Source organism: Homo sapiens, chromosome 1 (assembly GCF_000001405.40).
Source record: "Homo sapiens chromosome 1, GRCh38.p14 Primary Assembly".
Classification (NCBI taxonomy): domain Eukaryota; kingdom Metazoa; phylum Chordata; class Mammalia; order Primates; family Hominidae; genus Homo; species Homo sapiens.
In genome coordinates, this window is record NC_000001.11 from 225473535 (window position 1) to 225497976 (window position 24442).

At 44.4% G+C, this 24442-nt stretch overlaps 1 protein-coding gene and 1 long non-coding RNA gene across 36 annotated transcripts in view, besides 2 other annotated features; one reads left to right on the forward strand and one right to left on the reverse strand.

Annotated features, from left to right (window-relative positions):
* Positions 1461–1700: a silencer, noted in NCBI's record as "silent region_1857". NCBI's record gives its function as "represses an Ori minimal core promoter by ATAC-STARR-seq in GM12878 lymphoblastoid cells {active_cell/tissue: GM12878}" and the evidence as "EXISTENCE:reporter gene assay evidence [ECO:0000049][PMID:35858748]".
* Positions 1851–1940: an enhancer, noted in NCBI's record as "active region_2627". NCBI's record gives its function as "activates an Ori minimal core promoter by ATAC-STARR-seq in GM12878 lymphoblastoid cells {active_cell/tissue: GM12878}" and the evidence as "EXISTENCE:reporter gene assay evidence [ECO:0000049][PMID:35858748]".
* On the forward strand, positions 2433–13300 carry LOC124904526 (uncharacterized). The gene is made up of 2 exons (XR_007066903.1): positions 2433–3076; positions 13020–13300. It is a non-coding gene; the product is annotated as an uncharacterized LOC124904526 (long non-coding RNA).
* Positions 13295–24442, reverse strand: part of ENAH (ENAH actin regulator) — a 167050-nt gene continuing 155902 nt past the window's right edge. For all 35 annotated transcript variants that reach the window (XM_017001752.2, XM_047424938.1, XM_017001751.2 and 32 more), the window contains one exon: positions 13295–24278. In XM_017001752.2, the coding sequence (XP_016857241.1) occupies positions 24241–24278 (38 nt within the window). In that variant the 3' untranslated portion in view covers positions 13295–24240. The remainder of the gene's footprint in view (positions 24279–24442) is intronic.

Genomic DNA, 24442 nt, shown 5'->3' on the forward strand with positions numbered 1-24442 from the left:
TTTGCAATAAATCTTGCTACTGCACACTCTTTAGGTCCACGCTGCTTTTATGAGCTGTAACACTCACCGGGAAGATCTGCAGCTTCACTCCTCAGCCCAGCAAGACCACGAGCCCACCGGGAGGAACGAACAACTCCAGAGGCGCTGCCTTAAGAGCTGTAACACTCACCGCGAAGGTCTGCAGCTTCACTCCTGAGCCAGCGAGACCACGAACCCATCAGAAGGAAGAAACTCCGAACGCATCTTAACATCAGAAAGGACAGACTCCAGACGCACCACCTTAAGAGCTGTTAACACTCACCGCGAGAGTCCGCGGCTTCATTCTTGAAGTCAGTGAGACCAAGAACCCACCAATTCCGGACACACTGGGACAACAGGTGTGCACCACCACACCTGGCTAATTTTTGTATTTTTTGTAGAGACAAGGTCTTGCCATGTTGCCCAGGCTGGTCTCAAATTTTCCTGGACTTAAGCGATTTGCTTGCCTTGGCCTCTCCAAGTGCTGGGATTACAAGTGCGAGCCACCATGCCCAGCTAATTTTTGTATTTTTTGTAGAGACAAGGTCTTGCCACATTGCCCAGGCCGGTCTCAAACTCCTGGTCTTAAGCAATCCACTCACCCTGGCCTCCCCAAGTGCCGGGATTACAGGCGTGAGCCACCGTGCCTGGCTCCCAATAAATCTTTTGCTCTCCTAACTCTGACTCAGGGTTGGCCTCCTGGAGAATCCCGCCTGTGGCACTGTCTTCTACACTCCTGTCCATCCGTTTCCACCTCACAGGTGGTATCCATGCCTCTGACCCAACACTGCAGCAGGGCTGAGCCAGAACCCTGTGCCGCGCCCACCTTCCCGAAGCGCTCTGACCTCATGATTCCCCTCCTGCCCAGTGAAGAGACGAGACAGCCTCGTGCCCACTCCACAGCACTGGCCATGCATGCCTCCTGCCTCGTTCCTAATGATTAGTACCTGTGTCTCCTAAAGAGGCTTGTGAGCACCTTAAAGGGCCTTCCCATAATTATTCTAATTCTTCCAGACCAGTCAGCAAGTGGCCAGCCCGGCACTCTCTAGGCCCCTGGTGAGTAGGATGTCCACTTCATGAGGATGCTTCCTCCTCCGGAGGACAGCCCTGGCCAGTGGAATGTTCTGGATTGAAGAAACCTGCCACCCCATTCTTTCCATTGTTCCTCATACGACTGGATTTGGAGTCCCCCACCACTCTCACCACGCAACCTGAACATGTTGTAGTTTGCTGATGAACTTCAAAAGTGGGGTACCCAGGGCTCAACACAGCTCCGTGGAACCAGCCGACCAGCTGAGCGGAGAAAAAAGGCTCTGTGGACACATTTGTTGACATAACCAAAGGTCATATTCGTTACCCTGGACTTCATGCAGACTCTTCAGTCAGAATACCTGCATTCGTGTATTTTCTCAGTCAGCTTCGCCTCGGATGCATTACTTCACTTCTGTGCCTCCGTCTCTCAGCTGTGAAATAGGATCCTACCAGTACCCTCCAATCCCAAACTGAGAGGCCGGGAAAAGGCAAGGACGCCCGTCGGCCGGCAGAGGGCGCTGCGCACCCGCGTTGGACGGGGCGCGCTGCCGAGCATGACCGCCAGGGGTCGCTCGAGCGCCACCGTCCAGGCCCTGGGCCCCGGCAGAACCCGGCTGGCCTTAGGCGCCCAGCGGACCTGCACGCCTGCGGCCTTGGGACGTGCCGCCTTTCCCTGCTCCACACTCTCCCCGCTCCCTTGGGAGGATCCGAGTGGTTGCCTGCAAATCCCCACACCAGCCCGGCTGCGGTGGACGAGGGCAGGTGGGCAGGCTGGGTGAGATTGGTGGGATGGTGTAAGCAGTGATGCCAGCCTTGGAAAGGATGGAAATGACACCGCACAGAGTACAGCAGACCCACCACCTCCAAGGACTCGATGGGGTCGAGGCCAGCTCCTCTCCCCAGCAGTGTCTTCTCATCAGCTGCTCCTGAGGCCTGTCCTGGCCCAGGACCTCATGTGCTCCTCCTGGCCAGGTGCCTGTACCATCCACCCTGCCCGGGGCGCCCTCTGCTCCATTAAATGCCCCGCCCGGGAGCCTGCGAACTCCCAGGACTGCCCCTCCATGGAGGGTCAAGGAAGCAGTCTGGCTTTGGCGGGAACTGCAGAACAAACAGACGGATCCAGAGCCGATGTTAGAATTCTCCTCCCGGCCGGGCGCGGTGGCTCACCCCTGTAATCCCAGCACTGGGGGAGGCCGAGGCGGGAGAATCACCTGGGGTCCGGTGACCAGCCTGGCCAACATGGCGAAACCTCGTCTCTATTAAAAATACAAAAATTAGCTGGGCGTGGTGGTGCGCACCTGTAATCCCAGCTACTCAGAAGGCTGAGGTAGGAGAATCGCTTGAACCCTGGAGGCAGAGGTTGCAGTGAGCCAAGATCGGGCCACTGCACTCACTGTCAGCCTGGGTGAGAAGAGCAAAACTCCATCTCAAAAAATAAAAATAATTCTCCTTCCCCTTGGTGAGGAAATGGAGATGACACCTCTTTCTGGCCGGATGGGAAATGGCAGTAAATGGTCACAGTTCCCCTTCCTCTTGGTGGCCAAGGAAGCATTCTGATTGGGCCTAAAGTCGAGGAAACTCCCATTTCCAAAGTGCCTGCTGGGTCCTTGTCAGCCAAGGGAAGACCATCACATATCCATGAAGGTTCATTTTCAGTGTCGACTTGGCCATGGGATGCCCAGGCATTTGGTCAGACATGATTCTGGCATGGCTGTGAGGGTGTTTCTGGATGCAATTTGCCTTTGAATGGGCAGACGGAGAACAGCAGAACGTCCTCCCTGGTGTGGGTGGGCCTCGTCCAATCAGTTGAAGGCTTGCTAGAGCAAAAAGGCTGACGCTCCCACAGGTAGAAGGACATTACCTGCCTGACTGCTTGCGCTGGGACATCATTTTTTCTTGCCTTCAGACTTGCACTGAGACTTCAGCTCGTCTCACATCTTGAGCCTGCTGGTTTTTGGACTGGAGCTACACCATTGGCTGTCCAGGTCTTCAGCTTGCCAACTCACACTGCAGCCTCCATCATCAAGTGAGTCAATTCCTTATCACAAGTGTGTGTGTGTGTCTGAATATACTTGTATGTATATGTCTGAATGTTTATTTTCCCCCAAAGTTCACATGTTGAAATCCTAACTCCCAAGGTGATGGTGTGCATAAGTGGGGCCTCTAGGAGGTGAGGTTGTGAGGGTAAAGCCCACATGAATGGGATTAGTGCTGTTATGAAAAACATATGCACACCACATCCTCTTCGTTCTGCTTCTCTGGAAAGTCCAGACTAATCCAAACCAAAAGAGCAACATGAGGGGCCGGGCGCCGTGGCTGATGCCTCTAATCCCAGCACTTCAGGAGGCTGAGGCCAGGCGGGTTGCTTGAGTGCAGGAGTTCAAGACCAGCCTGGGCAACATAATGAAACCCTGTCTCCACCAAAATACAAAAAATTAGCCGGGCATGGTGGCACACACCTGTAATCCCAGCTACTCTGGAGGCTGAGGCACAAGAATTGCTTGAACCTGAGAGGCAGAGGTTGCAGTGAGCTGAGATTGCACCACAGCACTCCAGCCTGGGTGACAGAGTGAGACCATGAAAAAAAGAGAAAGAGAGAGAGAGAAGAAAAGCTACTTAAAATTGTCCCTGAGGTTGAAATGACTGTGTCAAATTGTTCATGGCAAAATGTCTTGTATTGTTCTCTATCCCTCCTATGTTCCAACTAAATGGGAATTTTCCATTCCCATTCCCTAATTTCTGTGCTCCGACAGTACTCTCTGCCTGGGGCGCCCTTCACCATTCACCCCCAGGGTTGCACTCAGATGCTACCTCCCGCATGAAGTCTTCCTCTGCACTCCCACACACCCTGCTTGTGTCTATTAGGAATCCTTCTGGCTGCAAGCAACAGAACCTCTGACTAGCAGTGACTTAAACAAAGAGTGGTTTATTTTTCCTTAAATAAGCATGGGGGTAGGTGGTTGCCGACATGAGTGTGGTGGCTCAGAGATGCCAGGTCTGGCTCTCTCAGATTCTTGACCTTCCCCTCATGATTACAAGATGGCTGCAGTTGCCCAGAGCATCATACACTCCCATCAAGTCCAAGGAAGAGAAGTGAGGGAGTGGAGCAGGGGAGAGCTTTCTCATTTGCCTTCCTCTTATCTGGGAGAAAAAAAAACCTTCCCAGGAGCTTCCAACAGATGTGCCCAAAACTAGGCCACAAGGCCCCCCTCACAGACCGAGGATGGATCTGCATTCCTGAGATCAAGGGAGCTCCACTGAGGCCTACACGAAATGGGGTTCTGGCAGCAGGGAAGAAGGGAAGGGGAGGCTTTTGAGGAGGCAGCTTCTCCCACATTGCCAGCTGTCCCTTTCCTATCTCCCGCTGTAGATCACAGGGCTGACCATAAAAGGCACTTAAAACATTCTGACTTCATTTTGATTACAGTCTGTGAGCCTCAAAAGGCCTTGAGCAGGAAGAGGTGTGTTCTGACATGCGGTTCACATGGCTCCCTCCGGCCACAGTGGGCTGTATGCAGGGCGAGAGAGGAGGAAGCGGGAGGCTGCTGCGGAGGTTCAGTGACAGGTGGAGGGAGGTTGACAGGACTTGGCAGCAAGGCTGGAAACAAGTGGAGCTCCGGGAGGACCATGCGGGAGGCAGATCCACGGGGCCCACTCACTTATGGGCAGGGGAGCCCAGGAGAGAGTAAAAACTGCCTGGGGATTAGAACAGAGGAGGAGTGTCAAGAGTTTGGTTTGGGTCATCTCGGATTTGAAATGCTGCAGGGCTGTCCTGGAGTCTTGTCCCCAGTGGGCAGGACAGTGGCTCTGGTGCTCAGGAGAGAGGACAGGGCTGAGACACTCCTTGGAGTCACTGGTGTGTTGATGGAGAAAAGGCAAGAGAAGACACGGGAGAGGACAGGCTTTCCCAGGGAGGCTGAGAGGTGGGTGAGGAACAAAGCCTTCAAAAGCACGGATAGCAGCTGGGCGCAGTGGCTCACGCCTGTAATCCCAGCACTTTGGGAGGCCGAGGCGGGTGGATCATTGAGGTCAGGAGTTCGAGACCAGCCTGGCCAAAATGGTGAAACCCCGTATCTACTAAAAATACAAAAATTATTTGGGCGTGGCGGCGGGCACCTGTAATCCCAGCTACTAAGGTGGCTGAGGCAGGAGAATCAGTTGAACCTGGGAGGTGGAGGCTGCACTGAGCCCAGATCGCCCCACTGCACTCCAGCCTGGGCAACAGAGCGAGACTCCATCAAAAAAAAAAAAAAAAAGCACCAATAGTGGGTGACAGCTCCAACAAGGAGACTGAGAAGGAGGCCCCCCAAAAAGAGAGGAGATGGCAGGGCAGGACAGCTCCCAAGCAAAGGGCTGACACAGCTTGGACTTTATAACTCACAGCGTTCTCATTCCTCTAATTCTGGTCTCCAAGAACCTACAGTAAATCCAAAATTTACTGAACTTCACTGTAAGTTCAGCTCTATGGATAGAACTTAGCTCTAAAAGGAAATATTTCAGCTGCTTCTCCTGAACCACAGTAGTCAGTGTGGTACACGCTTGAGCCTTTTAAACAGTCAGTCTTTGGAGAGAAGAAACTAATCTCAATATCTACCTTCTTTCAGTGTTGTAAGAACCGTCCCCAGTTCCTTAGGTTCCTCAACTGAGACTATTTCACAAATCTTTTATATACACAAGCCAACAGACACAGCTAATCCATTTTTGGATGAAAACATTTTGATTTGTGGTTCATGCAAATATTAATATATTCTGCCAGCCAGGCGTGTTGGCTCACGCCTGTAATCTCAGCACTCTGGGAGTCTAAGGCAAGAGGATCGCTTGAGCCCAGGAGTTTGAGACTAGCTGGTGCAACATAGTGAGAACCCATTTCTACAAAGTAAAGATAAATTAGCCAGGCATGTTGGTGTGCGCCTGGAGTCCCAGCTATTCGAGAGGCTGAGGCAGGAGGATCGCTTGAGCCTGGGAGGTTGAGGCTACAGTGATCTGAGATTACACTACTGCACGCCAGCCGGGGAGACAGAGCGAGACCCTGTCTCAAAAGTATAAATGTATGGCTGGGCATGATGGTTCACACCTGTAATCCCAGCACTTTGGCAGGCTGAAGAGGGCAGATCACTTGAGGTCAAGATTTCAAGACCAGCCTGGCCAACATGGTGACACCCTGTCTCTACAAATACAAAAATTAACTGAGTGTGTTGGTGTGCGCCTATAATCCCAGCTACTCAGGAGGCTGAGGCAGGAGAATCGCTTGAACCTGGGAGGCGGGGGTTGCAGTGAGGCAGGACTGACTACTGCACTCCAGCCTTGGTGACAGAGCGAGATTATGTCTCAAAAAAAAAAAAAAAAAAAGAAGTGGCCAGGTGCGGTGGCTCATGCCTGTAATCCCAGCACTTTGGGAGACTGAAGCAGGCGGATCACCTGAGGTTGGGAGTTTAAGACCAGCCTGGCCAACATAGAGAATCCCCATCTCTACTAAAAATACAAAATTAGCCGGGCGTGATGGCGTATGCCTGTAATCCCAGGTACTCGGGAGGCTGAGGTGGGAGAATCACTTGAACCCGGGAGGCGGCGGTTGTGGTGAGCCGAGATCGCGCCATTGCACTCCAGCCTGGGCAACAAGAGCAAAACTCCTCCATCTCAAAAAACAAAGAAGTATAAACATATTTATTACTGCCTACCAGACCATGGATCCAAGGTTTAGCACAGAGGCGTTGATGCACATCAGTGTGGCTTTCCAGAACTCCGCTTTCCCTAGCCTTGCTTTGGGGTGAAGATGAGGCCCTGGGGTGCCTGCCTCATAGCCACATCCACTGCTCCTTGCTGGGCAGCAAGGAGCTCAGGCAAGCAGGCTGGGTCCTGAGGTACGCGTGGTAATTCGTCTGAACCGATTAAGGGAATCTCTCCTCTTTGCAGATGAAGAGTAGTGGGATGGGGCCAGCTCTGCCTGAGATCTGAAAGTCACCAGGGGCCACAGAAAAGTTTCCTGCCTGAGAAGAACGGAAGGGATGCACAAGGAGGAAACCTCCTCCCGGGAGCTGAGGCAGTGACAGTGGCCCTGAGGAAAGGCAGGAACCTAGCGGTGGCATCCAAAACTGTGGAATTAACCAACCCGGGCCCTCGTACCTCAGGGTTGAGAGTCACGTGTGCTAATAAACCTGTAGGGTAAGACCTAAAATTTAAACCCAACACTATGTGCTGCCTTGATCTCTGCTCCAGTCGGAAGGGCCAGGTGTGACCGAGCTGCAAGTTCCCCTCCTCACTCTTTTCTCTCAGATAAGGCCCCCCAGCCAAACATCCCTCCTTACCCAGGGGACCAGGCAGGGCTCCTGCTCACCCACCAGCTGTGGGTTTCACTTCCTTACCAGCCTGTGGAATTACTTAAACAAGTCAATCATATTCTCCGGTGGGAACCAGGGGTCACCACACCCTCTTGCTACTACCACCAAGCCTGCCTCCCACAGCCCCTGCTGGCTCCCTCTGTTCCTGAGTGCAGTTCCCATGGGGCCCTGTGTGGGGCACTGTCCTCCTCCCCTGAGCTGTGAGTTCAGGTTACTAATAACCTGCTGTCAATCGCACCTGTCCAGTATCAGGTGCTGTGTGTTTGGCCATTGCTACAATCCCAGGGCAGGAATCCTTCTCTCATTAACAGGTGAATAGGAGGAAATTAAAACTGTTATTTACATAAGCTGCTTTAAGTCAGGTGTTATTTATGGCTGGACGCAACGTGTCATCTAAGCCCAGGTGCTCCTGTAATACCAGTTACTCCTACCCTGAATGTCTCCCACTTGTACTCGCTTGACACGGACTCAGGAAAGCATCAAGCCAGTGGGTTTATTTCCTGCACCCATAGCGTGACAGATCACAGAACCTGATCACCGTGTGGCACATCCATGAATCCAGGTAGCACTGGCACGGCTACTCTCAACAACTGTCCAGGAAATGAGAGGCCGTTCTGTTTCCTAAAGGGGCCAATATATTATTTTTATTTTCCCTCTGGAATACTTAAAAACAATTTGTATTGGTGGTTTTTTAAAGGGTTATATTTTCTACATTCTAAATGTGCAGAAGAACGTGCTTTCTGGCAGACAGGGAGTATGTCACACATTTTTATGTCTTCTGTGCCAGAACCTTAAAATCGTTTTCTTTTTAAAATCAGACTAAAACGTTCATTAGGACCTCTGAAGCTCCCTAGAAACCATGCAGTCTAATGTGGCATGTGCCGGGATTTCAGAGGACAGAGCAAAATGTTTCCAATTCTTTCCCAACCTCTCCAGCTCACCTCCTGTCTTGCCTCCACCCCACGGCTCATCTTCCAACCTTGCCCATTTACGGGGCCTGTTGCAGAACAGCCCATGCACTCTCACACCTGCAAACTGCTCGTTGCTCTGCCAGAAATACCTTTGCCCCTCTGATGCCCAAGAACACCTGCTCATTCTTAACAGCTCGTCTGTTAATTCCAGGTGAATTGACTTCTCCATCACCACCAAGCAGCTGACATTATTTCCCCATCTGTTTGTATATCATTCTGTATAATTTATTACACTCACATTGTAATTTTTGTTTTGTAAACCAATTTAAGCCAAATTGTTCACTGATCTACTTGTCTGCCTCCCCCTAAACACACATGGACTTAGGGACCAGGGCTCTATTTTAGAGGCAAGTAAATGCTTCTCCCTCTCCCTTGCCTTACAATTCTAGGGAAAGAAGTGTCATTCCATTCGTATCTGGGTGTTGAGGCCCTTGTGTATTTGTGATGGGGTTTATTATGGGAAGAGAACGTTAAGCTGATCTACCATCTTGGGTAAAATCTTTTCAAGCTCATTCACATAATTTACAAATTACTTGGAACTGGCTCCTGTCTGAATTCCAATTACCCTCCATCCTCCCCACACTTACAGCTTTCTCTAAGTGAGATTTGGCAGGGCAGGGGGACCGGCGGGGGAATGAGGCACCAACTCTGACCAGCTGCCTCTTTGAGCCGTCGCTGTCTGGCAGGGCTGGAGCTAATGATTTCTATGGTTACCCCAAATTATGAACTCTGATCGTTCTGCGATCCTTGGCCCTTTGACATGCCCCTTTTATAATCATGCTTTTTGAGTTTACAGTTCCAGCCCCATCCTTGCTGTTCAGTACCCACTCCTGCTACGTTAATCCACGAGGATTCCGGAAAGCAGCTCTGAAATTTGGAATTCCAACAATGCCTGCATTTGCTCATTTGGAGGCATTTCAAGCAGCTATTTTTATTCTTTGTTCACATCACCAGGTTTCAAGAAAGCACCCGAGACACTGTGCCATTAAGTGTTGAGTCAGGACAGGAGATCTGCAAGGCAAAAACAAATTCCCCTTCCATTTCCACCTGCTGTGCACACTCCCAGCTTCTGGACCCTTGCTGACCTACGCGTCTCAACATTTACAAGATAATCTGACACATGGGATTGATATCATGTGGAAAAAGTCTTTTCCCTTCTTTTGAAAACTTAGGAGAGCTAGAGAGCTTTGGGACTTGAACAGCTCCCAGTTAAGTTATAATAATAATAAATAATCTTTGGCAGTGGCTCATGCCTGTAATCCCAACACTTTGGGAAGCCAGAACAGGAGGATTGCTTGAGACCAGCCTGGACAACATAGCAAGACTACATCTCTAATTACATTTTTAAAAAGTAAAGCACTTTTTTTTTTTGAGATAGAATCTCGTTCTGTTGCCCAGGCTGGAGTGCAGTGGCATGATCTCAGCTCATTGCAACCTCCGCCTCCCGGGCTCAAGCGATTCTCCTGCCTCAGCCTCCTGAGTAGCTGGGATTACAAGCGCCCACCACCACGCCCTGATAATTTTTGTATTTTTAGCAGAGATGGGGTTTCACCATGTTGGCCAGGATAGTCTCAAACTCCTGACCTCAGGTGATCCGTCCATGGGTTTTCTCCATGTTGGCCAGGCTAGTCTGAAACTCCTGACCTCAGGTGATCCGTCCACCTTGGCCTCCCAAAGTGCTGGGATTACAGGCATGAGCCACTGCACCCAGCCACTTTTTTCATACTGACAAAAATTACTGGTACTTAACACTGGAGATTTGTATCTAACCATCCACTTCATGCCCCAGATTACTAGACAGAAAGTGGAATCATCTCCTTTAATCAAGCAAATTCCCGTCTCATAATGGGGCTGTGGGAATTTCTCTAGAGGACATCATTTAGGGAAAAACAAAGAAGGCAGCCACTTCCTTGGCCTTTGGGTATGTGCTCTTGCTTCTTGTGCCCTGAGAGTGAGACCCCTTTATAATCTGCAGCTCAGGAAAGAAATGTCTGGTCCATCAATTGACAACTTGTTAGGAAGCAATGCTAAATGAACGAAAAAATTAATTTCATTGAGTATAAACTCACCTTATTGGAGGAAATAGGCCTTATCTTCTAGGTAAATGCTTGCAATAAATGTAGACATGAATAATATCGTTGTTAAGAGGGAAGGAAAGTTGTATTCGAAACTTAATTCCACGTTTCAGGGAAACAGAATGAGACCGCAGTTAGTTAGCTGTCCAAGGCAGGTTCGGTTCTTTCGTTGGATTGTTCCCTGTGCTGCCCGTGGGGCCATTCACAGAAGGGAGCTACGACGGAGGGAGGCTCGCAGCCCCGCCAGCTGACATGCCCATAAATGGCTCCAGCACTGCTAGGCACGTTTAGAAGTGGGTCAGGATCTACTGAAGCTGAACGCAGGCATACGCTGTGACCCACCAACGCTATTCCTAGTCACACACCCAGAAGAAACACATCCATATGTTCACCAAAGACACATGCTAGAATATTCATAGCAGGACTACCCATAATAGCCCTAAGCTGGGAACTACGATATCACGAGGACAGACAATCCACCACTACACACACTACGGATGATCTCACATGCAATATTGGGAGAAAGGAACCAAGCACAAAATAGCAGGATTCCTTCACATCAAGCACAAACACAGCAACCTCGGGGGTCAGAAGTCAGGAGAGGGGTGATGCTGGGAGGGAGTGGCTGGAAGGAAACACGAGGGGGCTTCTGGGTCTTGACGTCTTTTCTCGCTTTGGGTGCTGTGCAAATGGGTGTAGTTTGTCAAGATAGTGAGCTGTATGCATACGTACACTTTTCTGTCCATATGTTTTACTTCAATAAAGTTTTTTTAAGGCTGAGCATGGTGGCTCATACCTGTAATCCCTGCATTTTGGGAGGCTGAGGTGGGAGGATTGAGCCCAGGAGTGAGACCAGCCCGGGCAACATGGCCAGACCCCATCTCTAAAATTAAAAAAAGTTTTTTTAAAAAAGCCAAAACGTGGTGGGCAATCCCAGCTGTGGAGGCTCCTGACAGCAGCCAGCCCTTTTGTGGGGCTTCAGTGGCCTCATCAGTGGGGCCCCATCTGTCCCAGGAGGCCTGCTCACCTCGGCTTCCCAGCTGGCTGCGACAGGACCTGTCTGTAGGGTTCCAACACTTCACCCAGCGGCAGGAGCTGTGGCAGGAAAGGCCCAACTCAACGCGACACATTTTTTGCAAACCAGCTTCCTGGCTTCTCAGACTCGTTTTTGTCTTGGGGGTCGGGAGTGATGACTTAAGAGCTATAATCATCCAAGGATAGACATCACTGTCATATCCCAGGTGACTTTTAAAAATGCTTTGAAGCATACATCTCCAATGCCTTTACCCACAGGAGTGGCCTTGCAATATTAAAATTGGTTCAACGCTGTGTTACTCCTCAGTCAGAGGCCTTTGCCATGAGAGCCTGTGGCCAAGGAGAAATGACAAATGAGTGGTTCTTTCTAGCTTGTTCACAGAGAGACGCCTTGAACTTCACCCACATAACCCCTCCATACTAGTGTCTGCAGCTGTCAGTGTGGTGACAGAGGCTATCTCGCACTCTATGATACTGTCACTGTCAGCTGGGCCACCTGGGTGGGGAGCCTCAGCCAGATACCCCCAGCATATTGAAACCATAGAAGCTGGAGCTGGAATGACCTTTGAAGACCTAAACACCTCACTTTACAGCTGAGAGGAGAGAAGGCTAAAATACAACTCCCGGACTCAGTGCCCAGGTGCCACGGTGTCCTTGCCCACACTGCCCAGGGCTAGGGTAGCAATCTCATGACAATAAGCTCCAAAAGTTACTGGGAACTGAGGGGCTTCACAAATCTTTTCAGCATATAGTCTCTTAGGGTCTGGCCTCTTTGCCATAACACAATGGGATTCAGCCTAGAATGAAAACATCCAAGAATACAGAAGGCTGGGTCAGCTCATGACTGCAGTGGCAAAATGCATTCCCCTACAGCCCCTTTCCGCTGTACACCAAGGGCTTCTCAGTTGAAAAGGAGAGGAGAGGTAACAGACATTCAGTCTATTTAGAAATGAGGCTGGCAAAAAAGGAGGTGACAAGTTACTCTGGTTCAGTTGATGAACCTTCTTTTCACCTGAGCCTTCTTTTCACCTCCCTGACATCAGAGAATGAAAACAAAGACATCATACAGAAAAGTGTGGCCATTAAAAGGATCACACCCTTTACACTAATGTGCCAGCAAGCTCCTCACAAACCACAGACTCCCAGATATTCTTAGCTGAAAGGCACCTGCCTCTAGGGACCTCCAGTGAGGGGCAGGATGGTCACAAAGTGAGAACACCAAGTCCTTTTTTTTTTTTTTTTTTTTTTTTGTAGAGACGGGATTTCGTCATGTCACCCAGGCTGGTCTTGAACTCCTGGACTCAAGCAATCCGCCCACCCCTCCCAAAATGCTGGGATTACAGACATGAGCCACCATGCCCGGCCTGAGAACACTAAGTCTTATGTCTGTCTTCAGCTCTTCAAAGCCCCAAAGCACTTGCACCATTGTGTAGTTTTGCAGTGGTCCCAGTACTGGTTCCTGCAGTAAGTACGCTTAATACTAAAATGCACAGGGCATTTGGTCCTGGAGGAAAATAGCACGTACATGCAGCTCGTTCATTTACCAACAGGCTGTTCACTGGCTTTGGACGCCTCCAATGAAGAGGTCACCAAGCTTTCCGTCATAGAGGAGCAGCAGCATTCAGGGAAAGGATGGCGGATCGCAAAACACTCCCCTTGGTGACAGGCTGAAATGCAGAAGGACCAGTATAGAACGCTCCTCAAGCTTTTAGAACTGAGCGTATTTTAAGGTCAGAATCACAACCAAGACAAAAGAATGCAACTCTTTTCATGTCGTATACCTTTGGTAAATTAAGAGCAACTGGTAAAATAAATACAAATCTCATTTGAATTAAGTATTTCATGTTTTTATTTCAAAAGAAAAAAGGATACCAAGAAGCAGAAGAATGAAGCAGTTAAAACCAGCAAAGCTGCAAAGTAGGAAAGAAAGCTGAGGGAGAGATTGATCCGATTTCAACGATGTGGCCACTTAATGCAAACACAGGGGTCTGATGCTGCAAACCTAAGTCACATGAGTCCAGTGACTTCAGCAGGTCCACTGATCCACCACAGTGACAGGGCCAGGCCCCTTCCTGCTGAATCCTAACTTTACACATTCTAGACACATGTCATGCACATACAGGTTACACTTTATGGTTACATGAAATTGCATGCAATTCACACAGAGAATCATTTTGAAGGCACTGTATTTTGCAGCAGGAGCTGCTACTTTCTGGCAAGTCCTTCCTAGGTTGGCTCACAAGTGGTCCTCCTTTTTATTTATTCCTATATGAAACTTTGGTCCAAAAATCAGGTGCAGTCTGATCCTACCCTCCCAGCTGTTTTAGTTTCATGTCTCACCTTCTCTTCCACGTTCCCTTCTTAAACGTAGATGTCAAGCTTAGAAGATGTTTCCTGACAATGAGATCCTGTTTAATTCAGATTTTCAAACAACTTGAGTCAAGCAAGCAGGAGCTTATAGTATGTTGATTTAAAACAAGTTGTTACCAGTTTCCCTTACCCTTGAATTCGGCAAGGCCCATTAATTCACAAATTCCATGATAAGATACATGAGGTTCTGTATGCATAGTAAATGATTTCTAGTTACAATTAAAATACAGCCTTGTATATGTTTAAGTCAACCTTAACTTTTAAAACATGACTTCAGTATACGCAACCTTAGGCTCACTTCCAGATTATAAAGTCCCATTCATGGGGTGCAAATGTTTACATTGTTAGCAAAGAAAATAGCTCTGCATAATCTTTTGACATACATGCACACTTCTAGTTCTAAAATTCAGAGCAAAGCAAGATGACAAGAGATTCCAATTCCAGCATATATTATGAAAGGTTATGGACTGTGACTATCCATCCTTTTGGACCATAAGAAATTCACTTTTAAATTTTTTCTACTGTGCTGTTCTACTATATACTTTTGGTCTATCAACTTGGTAGGCCTGAAAAAAAAAAGTATTTAACCTTCTAAATCTCATAATAGAAATTATGTACGTTGTTCTTTAACCAGAAAGGTTCACTGCTGACTCCCCCACCTCTCAAAAAACAAACAAACAAACAAACACCACCAAAGCTTTCCGCCATTCATGCACATGCTTATTCTGACCCCAACCCCATCCCTACAAAGGGGCAGCAGACAGCACAATAGTCAAGGACAAGGTTTTTATTTATTTATTTATTTATTATTTATTTATTTATTTTTTAAGGAGACAGGCCTCGCTATGTTGCCCAGGCTGGCCTCCAACTTTGGGCTCAAGTGATCCTTCTGCCTCAGCCCCCCGAGTCGCTGTGCCTAGGAGCACGCACCACCACACCTGGCTTAAGTAGAAGGTTCTGAAATCTGCCAGAGGCTGAGCAACAGAAAGCTTCCAATGAGAACTCAGAAGGCATTCACTCTGCCTGAAGTTGTGCTCTGCTCACAGCACGAGTGTGGCTGTCCCTCTCTCGCTCCCACCAGCTACATAATAGGGACTTTCAGGATGCTCCTATAAATACAGACTCCAGAGAGGTTTCCTCAAAAATTAAAAAAAAAATTCTATGCAAATATGTAAGTACTGTCATTGAGGATTACAGAAATACTTTGCATCAACTACAGATGTCTCAAAATAGAATTCTTTCTAGCTCATTCAGTTTTGTTAGAAACACTTCATGTTCTCCAAAAAAGAAAAGCACCTAACGAAAAGCATGTCCTATTCATGCTAGCAAGAAATGAATCCCAAAGGACACGCACCAAGAACCAAAGTAAAAGAATGTCAGCAAAACAGGACCCATCTTTTATCATCCCAAACTGCTATTTCCATCTCTGACTTTCTGCCAAATTATCTTTATCTTCCTAAGACGAAGCAAAGACTCAGAGCCCTCAAATGGCACGGAAGCGGCACCTGGTCTGCCAAGACATTGCTGTTAAACAGAGTCTTTTGGATTAAAACCAGGGAACTCGGAAGGAATGACTACATGGATATAGATGGATAAGATGGAAGATATAAAATAAGAAGGGCAGGAGGGTAAGATTATTCCTTTTTTCCTTTCAAGGCTGACAGTGATAGAATAAACAGCAGCACAGCAGGTTCAGATGATATGAAAACCACTGAATTCTGCCCAGGAATTGAAAGAAGGGCTTCTTCACTTCATCGAGCTCTGGAAAGTCTGTTTACTTAGAAACAGCTCTTGAACTACAAGAGTCAAATGGACCTTCTGCTATTCATATAATTGGAGCATGGATCTCGTGTGGTCCCATTACATGATTGGAATCAGTCTTTCTGAACGGCAGAATGTGCTTCCAGGTTGAAGCACAATGGAGAATGTACTGAAGCCACCACAGAGATGCTGGTAATTCAAACTGTGAAAGCACGTGGCGCAGAGGAAACTGACACAGAACAGCACACCACTGGTGCTTTATGCAACACCACTGACCCCAAGATGGTCACTCCATTGATTTTTCCGCATTGTTTACATCCAGGATGCATGCTGTCCAGTGCAATAGCGTCTATGACTATAAAACAACTAAAAGCTGCACTTAAGATGGGAGAGCCAAACTCAGATCTTTTTTCTCCTTCTCTTCAAAGATCAAAAGAAGAATAAACCAAAAAAGATTAAAAAAAAAGAATAAACCAACCAGTAGCTGCCGAGAATACAGTGAAAGAGGAAATTCAGAACTCAACTTTATCGGGGATGGGCACGGTCGCTTATGCCTGTAATCCCAACACTTTGGGAGGCCAAGGTGGGTGGATCACCTGAGGTCAGGAGTTCGAGACCAGCCTGGCCAATACGGTGAAACCCTGTCTCTACTAAAAATACAAAAATTAGCCGGGTGTGGTGGCGCATGCCTGTAGTCCCAGCTACTAAGGAGGCTGAGGTAGGAGAATCGCTTGAACCCGGGAGGCAGAGGTTGCAGTGAGCTGAAATCACACCACTGCACTCCAGCCTGGATGACAGAGCGAGACTGTCTCGAAATAATAATAATAACAATAATAATAAAAAGCTTTATCTATCCTTGCTTGTATAGTGGCAAGGAAAAAATAAAAACAAAACAAAAAGAATTTAAAAAAAGAACTCAACTTTAGAGGTAGAAGGCTCAGAGAGAATGACTGACTAGCCCCACAGCCTGAAAACTGGTAAAGTCAGTCCCAGTCCAATGACCTGCCCACAACTCCACACACAAAAAAGGACAGACTGAGAGAGACTGAGGGCGGGAGGAACACAGAGAAAGGGAAATCAAGTCCAACAAGGTGGCAAAGACATGGACTCAATAACAATTTTTACCATGTTTTCTTTCAGAAACAAGGACATTTTATGTGAGGATCAAATATTCTCCCTTCAAAAACTTCTGCAATTGAAGGCCGAGGCGGGCAGATCACCTGAGCTCAGGAGTTCAAGACCAGCCTGGGCAACATGGTGAAACCCCATCTCTACTAAAAATACAAAAATTAGTCGGGCATGGTGGCACGCGCCTGTAGTCCCAGCTACTTGGGAGGCTGAGGCAGGAAAATCCCTTTGAACCCAGGGGGGGGAAGTTGCAGTGAGCCGAGATCGCACCACTGCACTCCAACCTGAGTGACAGAGCAACACTCCGTCAAAAATTTTTTTTTGCAATTGAAACTTAAAATGATCAAGCCCAAAGTACCTCTGGGAAGGACACCAAATTGTAAAGTCCTGACTCAGGCCTGAACCTCCCATCCCTCTAGTAATAAAGAAGAAAGGAAATGCTACCTAGATTTTAACAGGGCTTTCTTCTCAATATCTAAGCCTTCCCAATTACTTTCCTCAGATAAACTATAAGCTATTCTTCTCCTGGAAATTTAAGTGGCAAAGTCAACGTCTTTTACCAACCATCCATGGGCTATTGCTGAGTTGCGGAACTAGCCTACAGCTAACTCAAATTCATCACCTCAGACTCACTGTGATGCCCAACCACTGGCACTGGGGTGGCCTTATGACTTACGACAATCAAATGGGGTTTGTGAATCCATGGTTAAGCTAGCCTGCCACCAAGGATGGACAAACCTCAGACTTGATCAATGGGTGGAGGGAAACTCCATATTTAAAATGCCCAGTGCCTCGGTCAGCAGAACCAACCAAGTGACACCTGAGATCAACTGGTAGTAATAATGAAAAGCTGGTATTTCTCACATAAAACACGTTGAAAAACATTTATTTATTTAGAGATGGAATCTCGCTCTGTCGCCCAGGCTGGAGTACAGTGGCGCGGTCTTAGCTCACTGCAACCTCCACCTCCTGGATTCAAGCGACTCTTCTGTCTCAGCCTCCCGAAGAGCTGGGATTACAGGTGCCCACCACTATGCCCAGCCAATTTTTTTGTATTTTTAGTAGAGATGGGGTTTCATCATGTTGGCCAGGCTGGTCTCAAACTCCTGACCTCAGGTGATCTGCCCACCTCAGCCTCCCAAAGTGCTGGGATTACAGGCGTGAGCCACCATGCCCGGCCATGAAACATTTATTTTTAAAATGCCTTTAATCTTTAAAAAAAAAAATAAAAGAAAAAGAAAAAAAGAAAAGAGGTTTCACAGATGTGACTAAAGCATGGACTGTTAGGCGCTTAAGAGACCAAATTTTTAAAAGCGTTCTGTAATGTATCTCTCTTATATGGTTGCAACAATGTGTATTTTAAGTGTAAGCCAAGAACCTTTTCTCTCAGTTTCTATAGACTTGGATGGAAACTTTTGGACTTGATGGGAAAATTAACTCTCAATCTAAACACTAGCCAATGTAGACTTTTTCTTCTGAGTGCTTTTTCCTATGGAATTCAAAGTACCAACTATTCAATTCTCGATTTTCTAAGCCTTCTTAGAAGAATAACTATTTACTAAAACCCAACCAAACCAACCTATAACATCATCCATCTCCTTTATTAGTTATTTCTTTATGCTTTTAGAATTGTCATCTACTGCTGAAGAAATCTTTCTTGGAATTGAAGGGAACAGTTAAATCAGATTTACATGATAAACTATGGGTTGTCATTTGTATATAGAACTTTTACGGAATAAATGTAGTCTAACAAACTGGGCTCTCTAATGAAATATGTAAGCTTTTCTAATAATTTCTATGAAAAGCTATATTCTCTTAGAATTTTTTTTTTTTTTTTTTAGAGACAGGTTCTCGCTCTGTCACCCAGGCTGGAGTACAGTGGCATGATAACGGCTCACTGCAGCCGCGTCCTCCCTGGGCTCAGGTGATCCTCCCGCTTCAGTCTCCTGAGTAGCTGGGATTACAGGTGTGCACCACCATGCCTGGCCTAAATTTTTAAATTTTTTTGTAGAAATGAGTCTCCCTGTTACCCAGGCTGATCTCAAAACTTCTGGCCTCAAGCAATCCTCCCGCCTCTGACCAGTTTACCGAGCTATTTAGATGTCCTAACTACTAGGAATTATATGTCTTTAAAAACTGAGGAAAAAGAACAGCACTACTCAAATGGTATATTCTTTTTACTCTCAGCCACCAACTGGGGCCCCTAATTTTCTCCCTCTGCCTAGAATTCCTGTGTCCTACACCAGAAGCGTCTACGGGCCCTGCTCTCTGCTCTTTATGAGTATTTAACATGCTTCACAGAACGGGGGTGCAGCTCAGTGACTGTGATTCTTTGGTTCAAACACTTAATTGGGGCTTCATCTTTGATTTTTTCTGCATGTTAATCTGCAAATACTCAAGGCCTACTATGTGCTTTAAATGATACTAACACTTCCGTTTAGAAGGTTGTGTGCATCACAGAGTATCTGTAACGGGGACAGTCCTATTTCCCTTTCTCAATTTTCAGATGTATCGATTCCTTCAGATTTCAACAGAAATAACCAATAAATGTGGCAGACATTCTTACAACATCCTAAGTCATTATGACAGTCATTTATCCTTTTACAATGTTTCTGTTACTTTATAAAGAAAACTATTTAGAAAGACAAATTTAGTTAATTCTTTAGCAGTTGTCAAATGTGTCTCCTCACCAAAAGATTTTACTCTTATGTGACTTGACCATTAGTATTCCACAAATAATTTATCCTAGAACTCCATTTATTTATGTTGATGGTGAGTATCTGTAACCATCCTAAATTTACTGCATTAATATTTTACTTTTCTTTCTAATCAATTTTAGGTTTTAATTTGAAGGTTTCATCTTTCCAGTATTGATATTTTAAAAAATCTTGATGTCTCAAAAATTATCGAGAGATAACATAAAGGGGAACACACCAAATAATCCACAGCTTTTGATGTTGGGAACAGAAAAACCTGCATCACAGACCTCCAACAGTTCTTGGCTTCTATAAACGGACTTTCTTGAGGGGTTACTGACTTCAGCTGCTTAGTCAAATCTACAAATCCTCAAAAGAAAACTCTTCTTTAAGTAATTGTCCTCTACTATGTCTTTACATAGCCAAAGCTACCTACATCAATTTCATTCCTTCAGAGTCATGGAGATTCCTTATAAATACCTGTATGTCAAGTTTTGACTTTAAAAATATTAAATGGCTTTTAGTGAAAAGGCAGAGGTATTAAACATCAGTAATTTCAATATACTAGGATCCTTTTCTCATTCCTTAGAGCTTTGGAGAGATGTACAGATATGAACTCATCTTTCTATTAAAAACAAAAGTGGTGCTACCAGAAAAAGGTTTGGAGTTTGGAAGTGAATGAGAGTAAATGTCTTCAGGAAAGTGAATTTTATGATAGCTACATAAAGGAATTAAGAGCTCCTGCAGAGTTCCTTTGCGATGTTTGCTTTATATAGTTACTTTTACGCTGCTTATAATCGGTAGAATTTAAAGGGTAATGGTGTTATAAAATTATAATGGCCACACAGGAATTAAAGAGACCTTGTAGCATACCTTTGCACACTGTGCTTCATAGGGTAATACTACTTAGAATTAAAAGGCCAATTCTTCACAATGGCACTGAAAGTATATATAAATTTACAAGAGACATAAAAGTTGTAGCTAGGTAAATTTAAAAGATTATCATGTTACTTAACTCATTTTTGAATGACAAGTGACTTTTAATTTGTAGACAAAAATACTGACTTACATATGAAGAGAAGCAAGAACATGAGACAGGCTAGAGCAAAAAAAAAAAAAAAAAAACAGCTGAAAATTTTACAACTGTAACTCTGTAATGGCTGCAAATGTTAATGAATATTGGGAACACGCGGTCCACGAGAAGTGGAGAGGAGAATGGAGGGGGGAAGGGGAAAATTTGGGTCTGGTCAAAGAAAAAATACAAGGATTGTATTTTTGTATTTCTAATGAAGACATCAGAATTATAAAATGGAACTCAAAATTAATACTTTATAATAGAGAAAAAGTACTACTGCTTATATGTAGGTTTTAAGAAATCAGCATCATGTATAAACACTATACATATTTTGCTATACTTAAAATTCATTACTCAATAATGCCCTTTACCACACAATGTCCTTTACCATGCAAACTACATAAAGGATAATTCTAACTGCATGAATGAGTTTTAAGTACCTGAACGTGTTGCAGAACAAAATGGAATAAAAATTAAACACTTAATCATCATCTTGACTATAAGAGGAAGTTACTGTGTCAAGGTGGGCAGAGAGAAAATAAGAAGAGGGAACACCCAACAGTTATTTCAAACAAAAAGTAGACACATCATCACATATTTCTTTTGTATACATTACTTAGTATTCACGACTTCTATGAAATCTGTAAAGAATAGTGACGTGACATGTAAACTTTTAAGTAGTAAAGTCTTGGACTTTAAAAGGTGTTTTTCACATCCAATATAACTTACTTTAAAACAAATTATTTCAGAAGATTATCTAAGTGTCACAAACAAGCAACATATATATACTGCAATTTTATTTCAATCGCACAAACGAAGTTAGCGTGTAGGAAACTTAAATGAAACAAATTTAAACGAAATAGTTACGGTAAAAATAGCAGAAAACTGAAAATTCTAAAAAGGAAGTACACCTAAAAGCATGAGAATTCAACATTCATTAGTGTTTCATCTTCAGTTTTGATTGACACTTGATGCTTGCAAATTTTTAAACAAACTTTTAAATCATGATGACTATTCTGAAGAGATTTCAGCACCAGCACTAAGATTTGTACATTCAGTTTGTTTGCAATTGACTTGTGAGCCATTTACATAGTGGATAGTACAGACTTGTCACAGGTCAGATCACAGTGTTGAGGAAAGCAGTGCCTTCCTGTCATTAGAAAGGATCCCCTAAACTGTACTCAGCTTAAGACATCCAACGTACAAGAGCACAAAAACCATCATAATAATGTGGTTCCAAGGAACGTGGTTTTGATAAGGTAAATAACTTAGGCTTCTGTTTCCCATTTTAATTACTGAAATCTCTAATAATGACACAACTGTCATGTATGATAGCAAATGTATATAATAATTCATTCAGACTTCTTGGAAAGAACATTTAGCAATCTGGGATGATGGGAAATATAGCATGATTCAACACTGGTTTTTTTTTTTTTTTTTTTTTGTCAGTTTACACATACATCATGTTAATATTAGACCAAGGCACAAAACGTTTAGTGCATAAACCCAGTTTCTTTTAAGATTTAGCATTTTATTTTAGTCTCTTATCTTAGTTTGGACCACTTGTACCCAGTACTCTACCTACTACAGACTATTTAACTTACCCAACAAAATCAAAAGAGGTTGCTGACCAGATTTATAGGGGACATAACTGTTTATATTATCAAAGTGTTTGCATAACCAAAAGTACAATAATAAAGATGAAAATGCCTCCTATTTCTTTTAGAAAATAATACTTAATAAGCTTGCTGCATCTTTGATGTTTTTACTACTACTGCATGACAATGAATATCTGATAGAAAAAAGAAATGTATACTTGAATTATGATAGCTCATCCATCACAGTTTAATCTAAAAATGAAATTTCTACAGAAACAGGAACTATTTTGACAAAGAAAAAAAAAATCCCTCATCCAAACTTCTTTGTAGTGGTAAAGGCTGCAAATTTGCAGCGTTTAGAAAACTACACTATCAACAAGCTTTGCTTTATGGACTGAGATGTACAAAATCTAGAAAGCAGATGAAAGTGAATTATTTCAAAGTTTTAGTAAAACTTCTGATAATCAGAGTTCAAAGCAAATATGGCACATAACAACTCAAGCATAAATCAAGATGGAGAGCCTGGAGAGTTTCTTAAATTTTCCAAAAAGCTATCATTCCAACATGTAGGATTTCTCCCCTATTTTAACCTTACCAGTTTCAAAGGAAAGAAAAGGGAGTGGCTTCCATATAGACAGCACGTGCGCGAGAGCACACACACGCAGAGTGGCAGGCAGAGTGTCTAATTCCTTCTTCCCACCTTCCTTCTTCCCACCACCCAAGTCTCACTTTACTTATTAAAAGAAAACTGCAGAACTCCTCATTGGTTTTCCTTTACCTAATGATTTCTGTGACCTTAATTGCTGCCATCATTGTTATTTCTTGCATTTCAACATAACAAAATTCAAAAGCAGCTTCATTCAGGAACACGTATCTAAACACCTGTGTAACAGCGGGGGTACCTAGGTAATAATAACTGCCAAATTCAGTGATCAAACTTTTGAGTTCCACAGTTAAGATATTATGTGAAGCTCAGAATCATGTTTCAGACCATTGAAATTACTGGTTAAAATACAAATAGCTGAAGACATGATGTAAAAGATTAAGTACTTGGTTTTGTAACATATTTACCAATTAAAGTCACAAAATATTTCTCATTATTTATTCATGCAGGTAACTGAGAAAAAGATAGTGCAGAAATCAACTTTAAATAAAAAATTATTCCTCCCCTTCCTCCCACTCCCCTATACTCTACAAAATGTTTTCCCTGGGACTAGGCCTTGAAAAGGCCACTACATATTAGTGTGACATGCATTACTGTCTGCAATTAAAAAAGCTAACCTTGTGGTGATTGTAATTACATTATAAAAATGTCCACATGCATAAATCTAAAAAAGGTTGAAAACCTACAGTAAATCTACAATATAGTGTTTACATTTGACCACTGGTTTGTGTTATGTAGAAGTCATAGATTTGGTAAAGCATTGTAACAATTTAGGAAGGCATCTAAATCTTTAAGTTCTGGACAAATTTTATGTTTTAATCTACAAAATTGCATGAAGGCTAACTCGAGAAACTTCCTATCATTCTAAAATTTCTCAAGCTGAAGAAACATTTTTCGGACACTTTCTTATAAATATTACCCTTTGAAAGCACTTACAATTCCATTTGTTCCACATATTATGATCTTAACTTACATAGGGCTGATCTCAATTATTCATGGAATATCAAACATGATAGGAAGAACAAACCTGAGAGAAACATTACAATACAATAGCAAACTTGCTCAATTCTTTACCAGCACTCTCTGCAAAAAAACTTCCTAAGCCTTTCTCCTCTTTATTTTAGCAATGTATTGTGGAAAATGTGCGACTTTATCTTGATATGAAAATATTTCAATGCGTGGTGATCTTGCCTGATGGGTTTTAGTATTTTCTGCATAACTGTTACAGGAACTCTTAAATGATTCTCTTCCATTCTGTTGTAAAGGCCAGAAAAAAGCAGCAAACGGAGAGGGAAAGAGCTTATCACCAGAGTCATAATGTCTGAAGGCTTTCAGAGTAGGTTGGTTTTTCCCTCCTTCTGTTTGTCTCCATTTTCTTCTTACAGCTCATAAATGTAGGGGTTTGCTGTTGTGAACAGTTGTTGTTTGTAGGATATTTTTCCTCCAGATTAAAGTCCTATCTCTCCTTAGTCTGTTCCTCTATGCAGTATTTGACTTGCTCAGTTCCTGCCTGATTGCTGGATGGAAAAGAACAAGTATTGAAAATAAATATAATGATAAAGTAAGATAAATGAGTGATTCATTCCTAAGAAACTTTAAGGATTGTGCTCAAACTCACAGTAATAAGAAGATTAACTTTGCATCTTTCATTGCACACATCTTTAATATTAGAAAGATGATA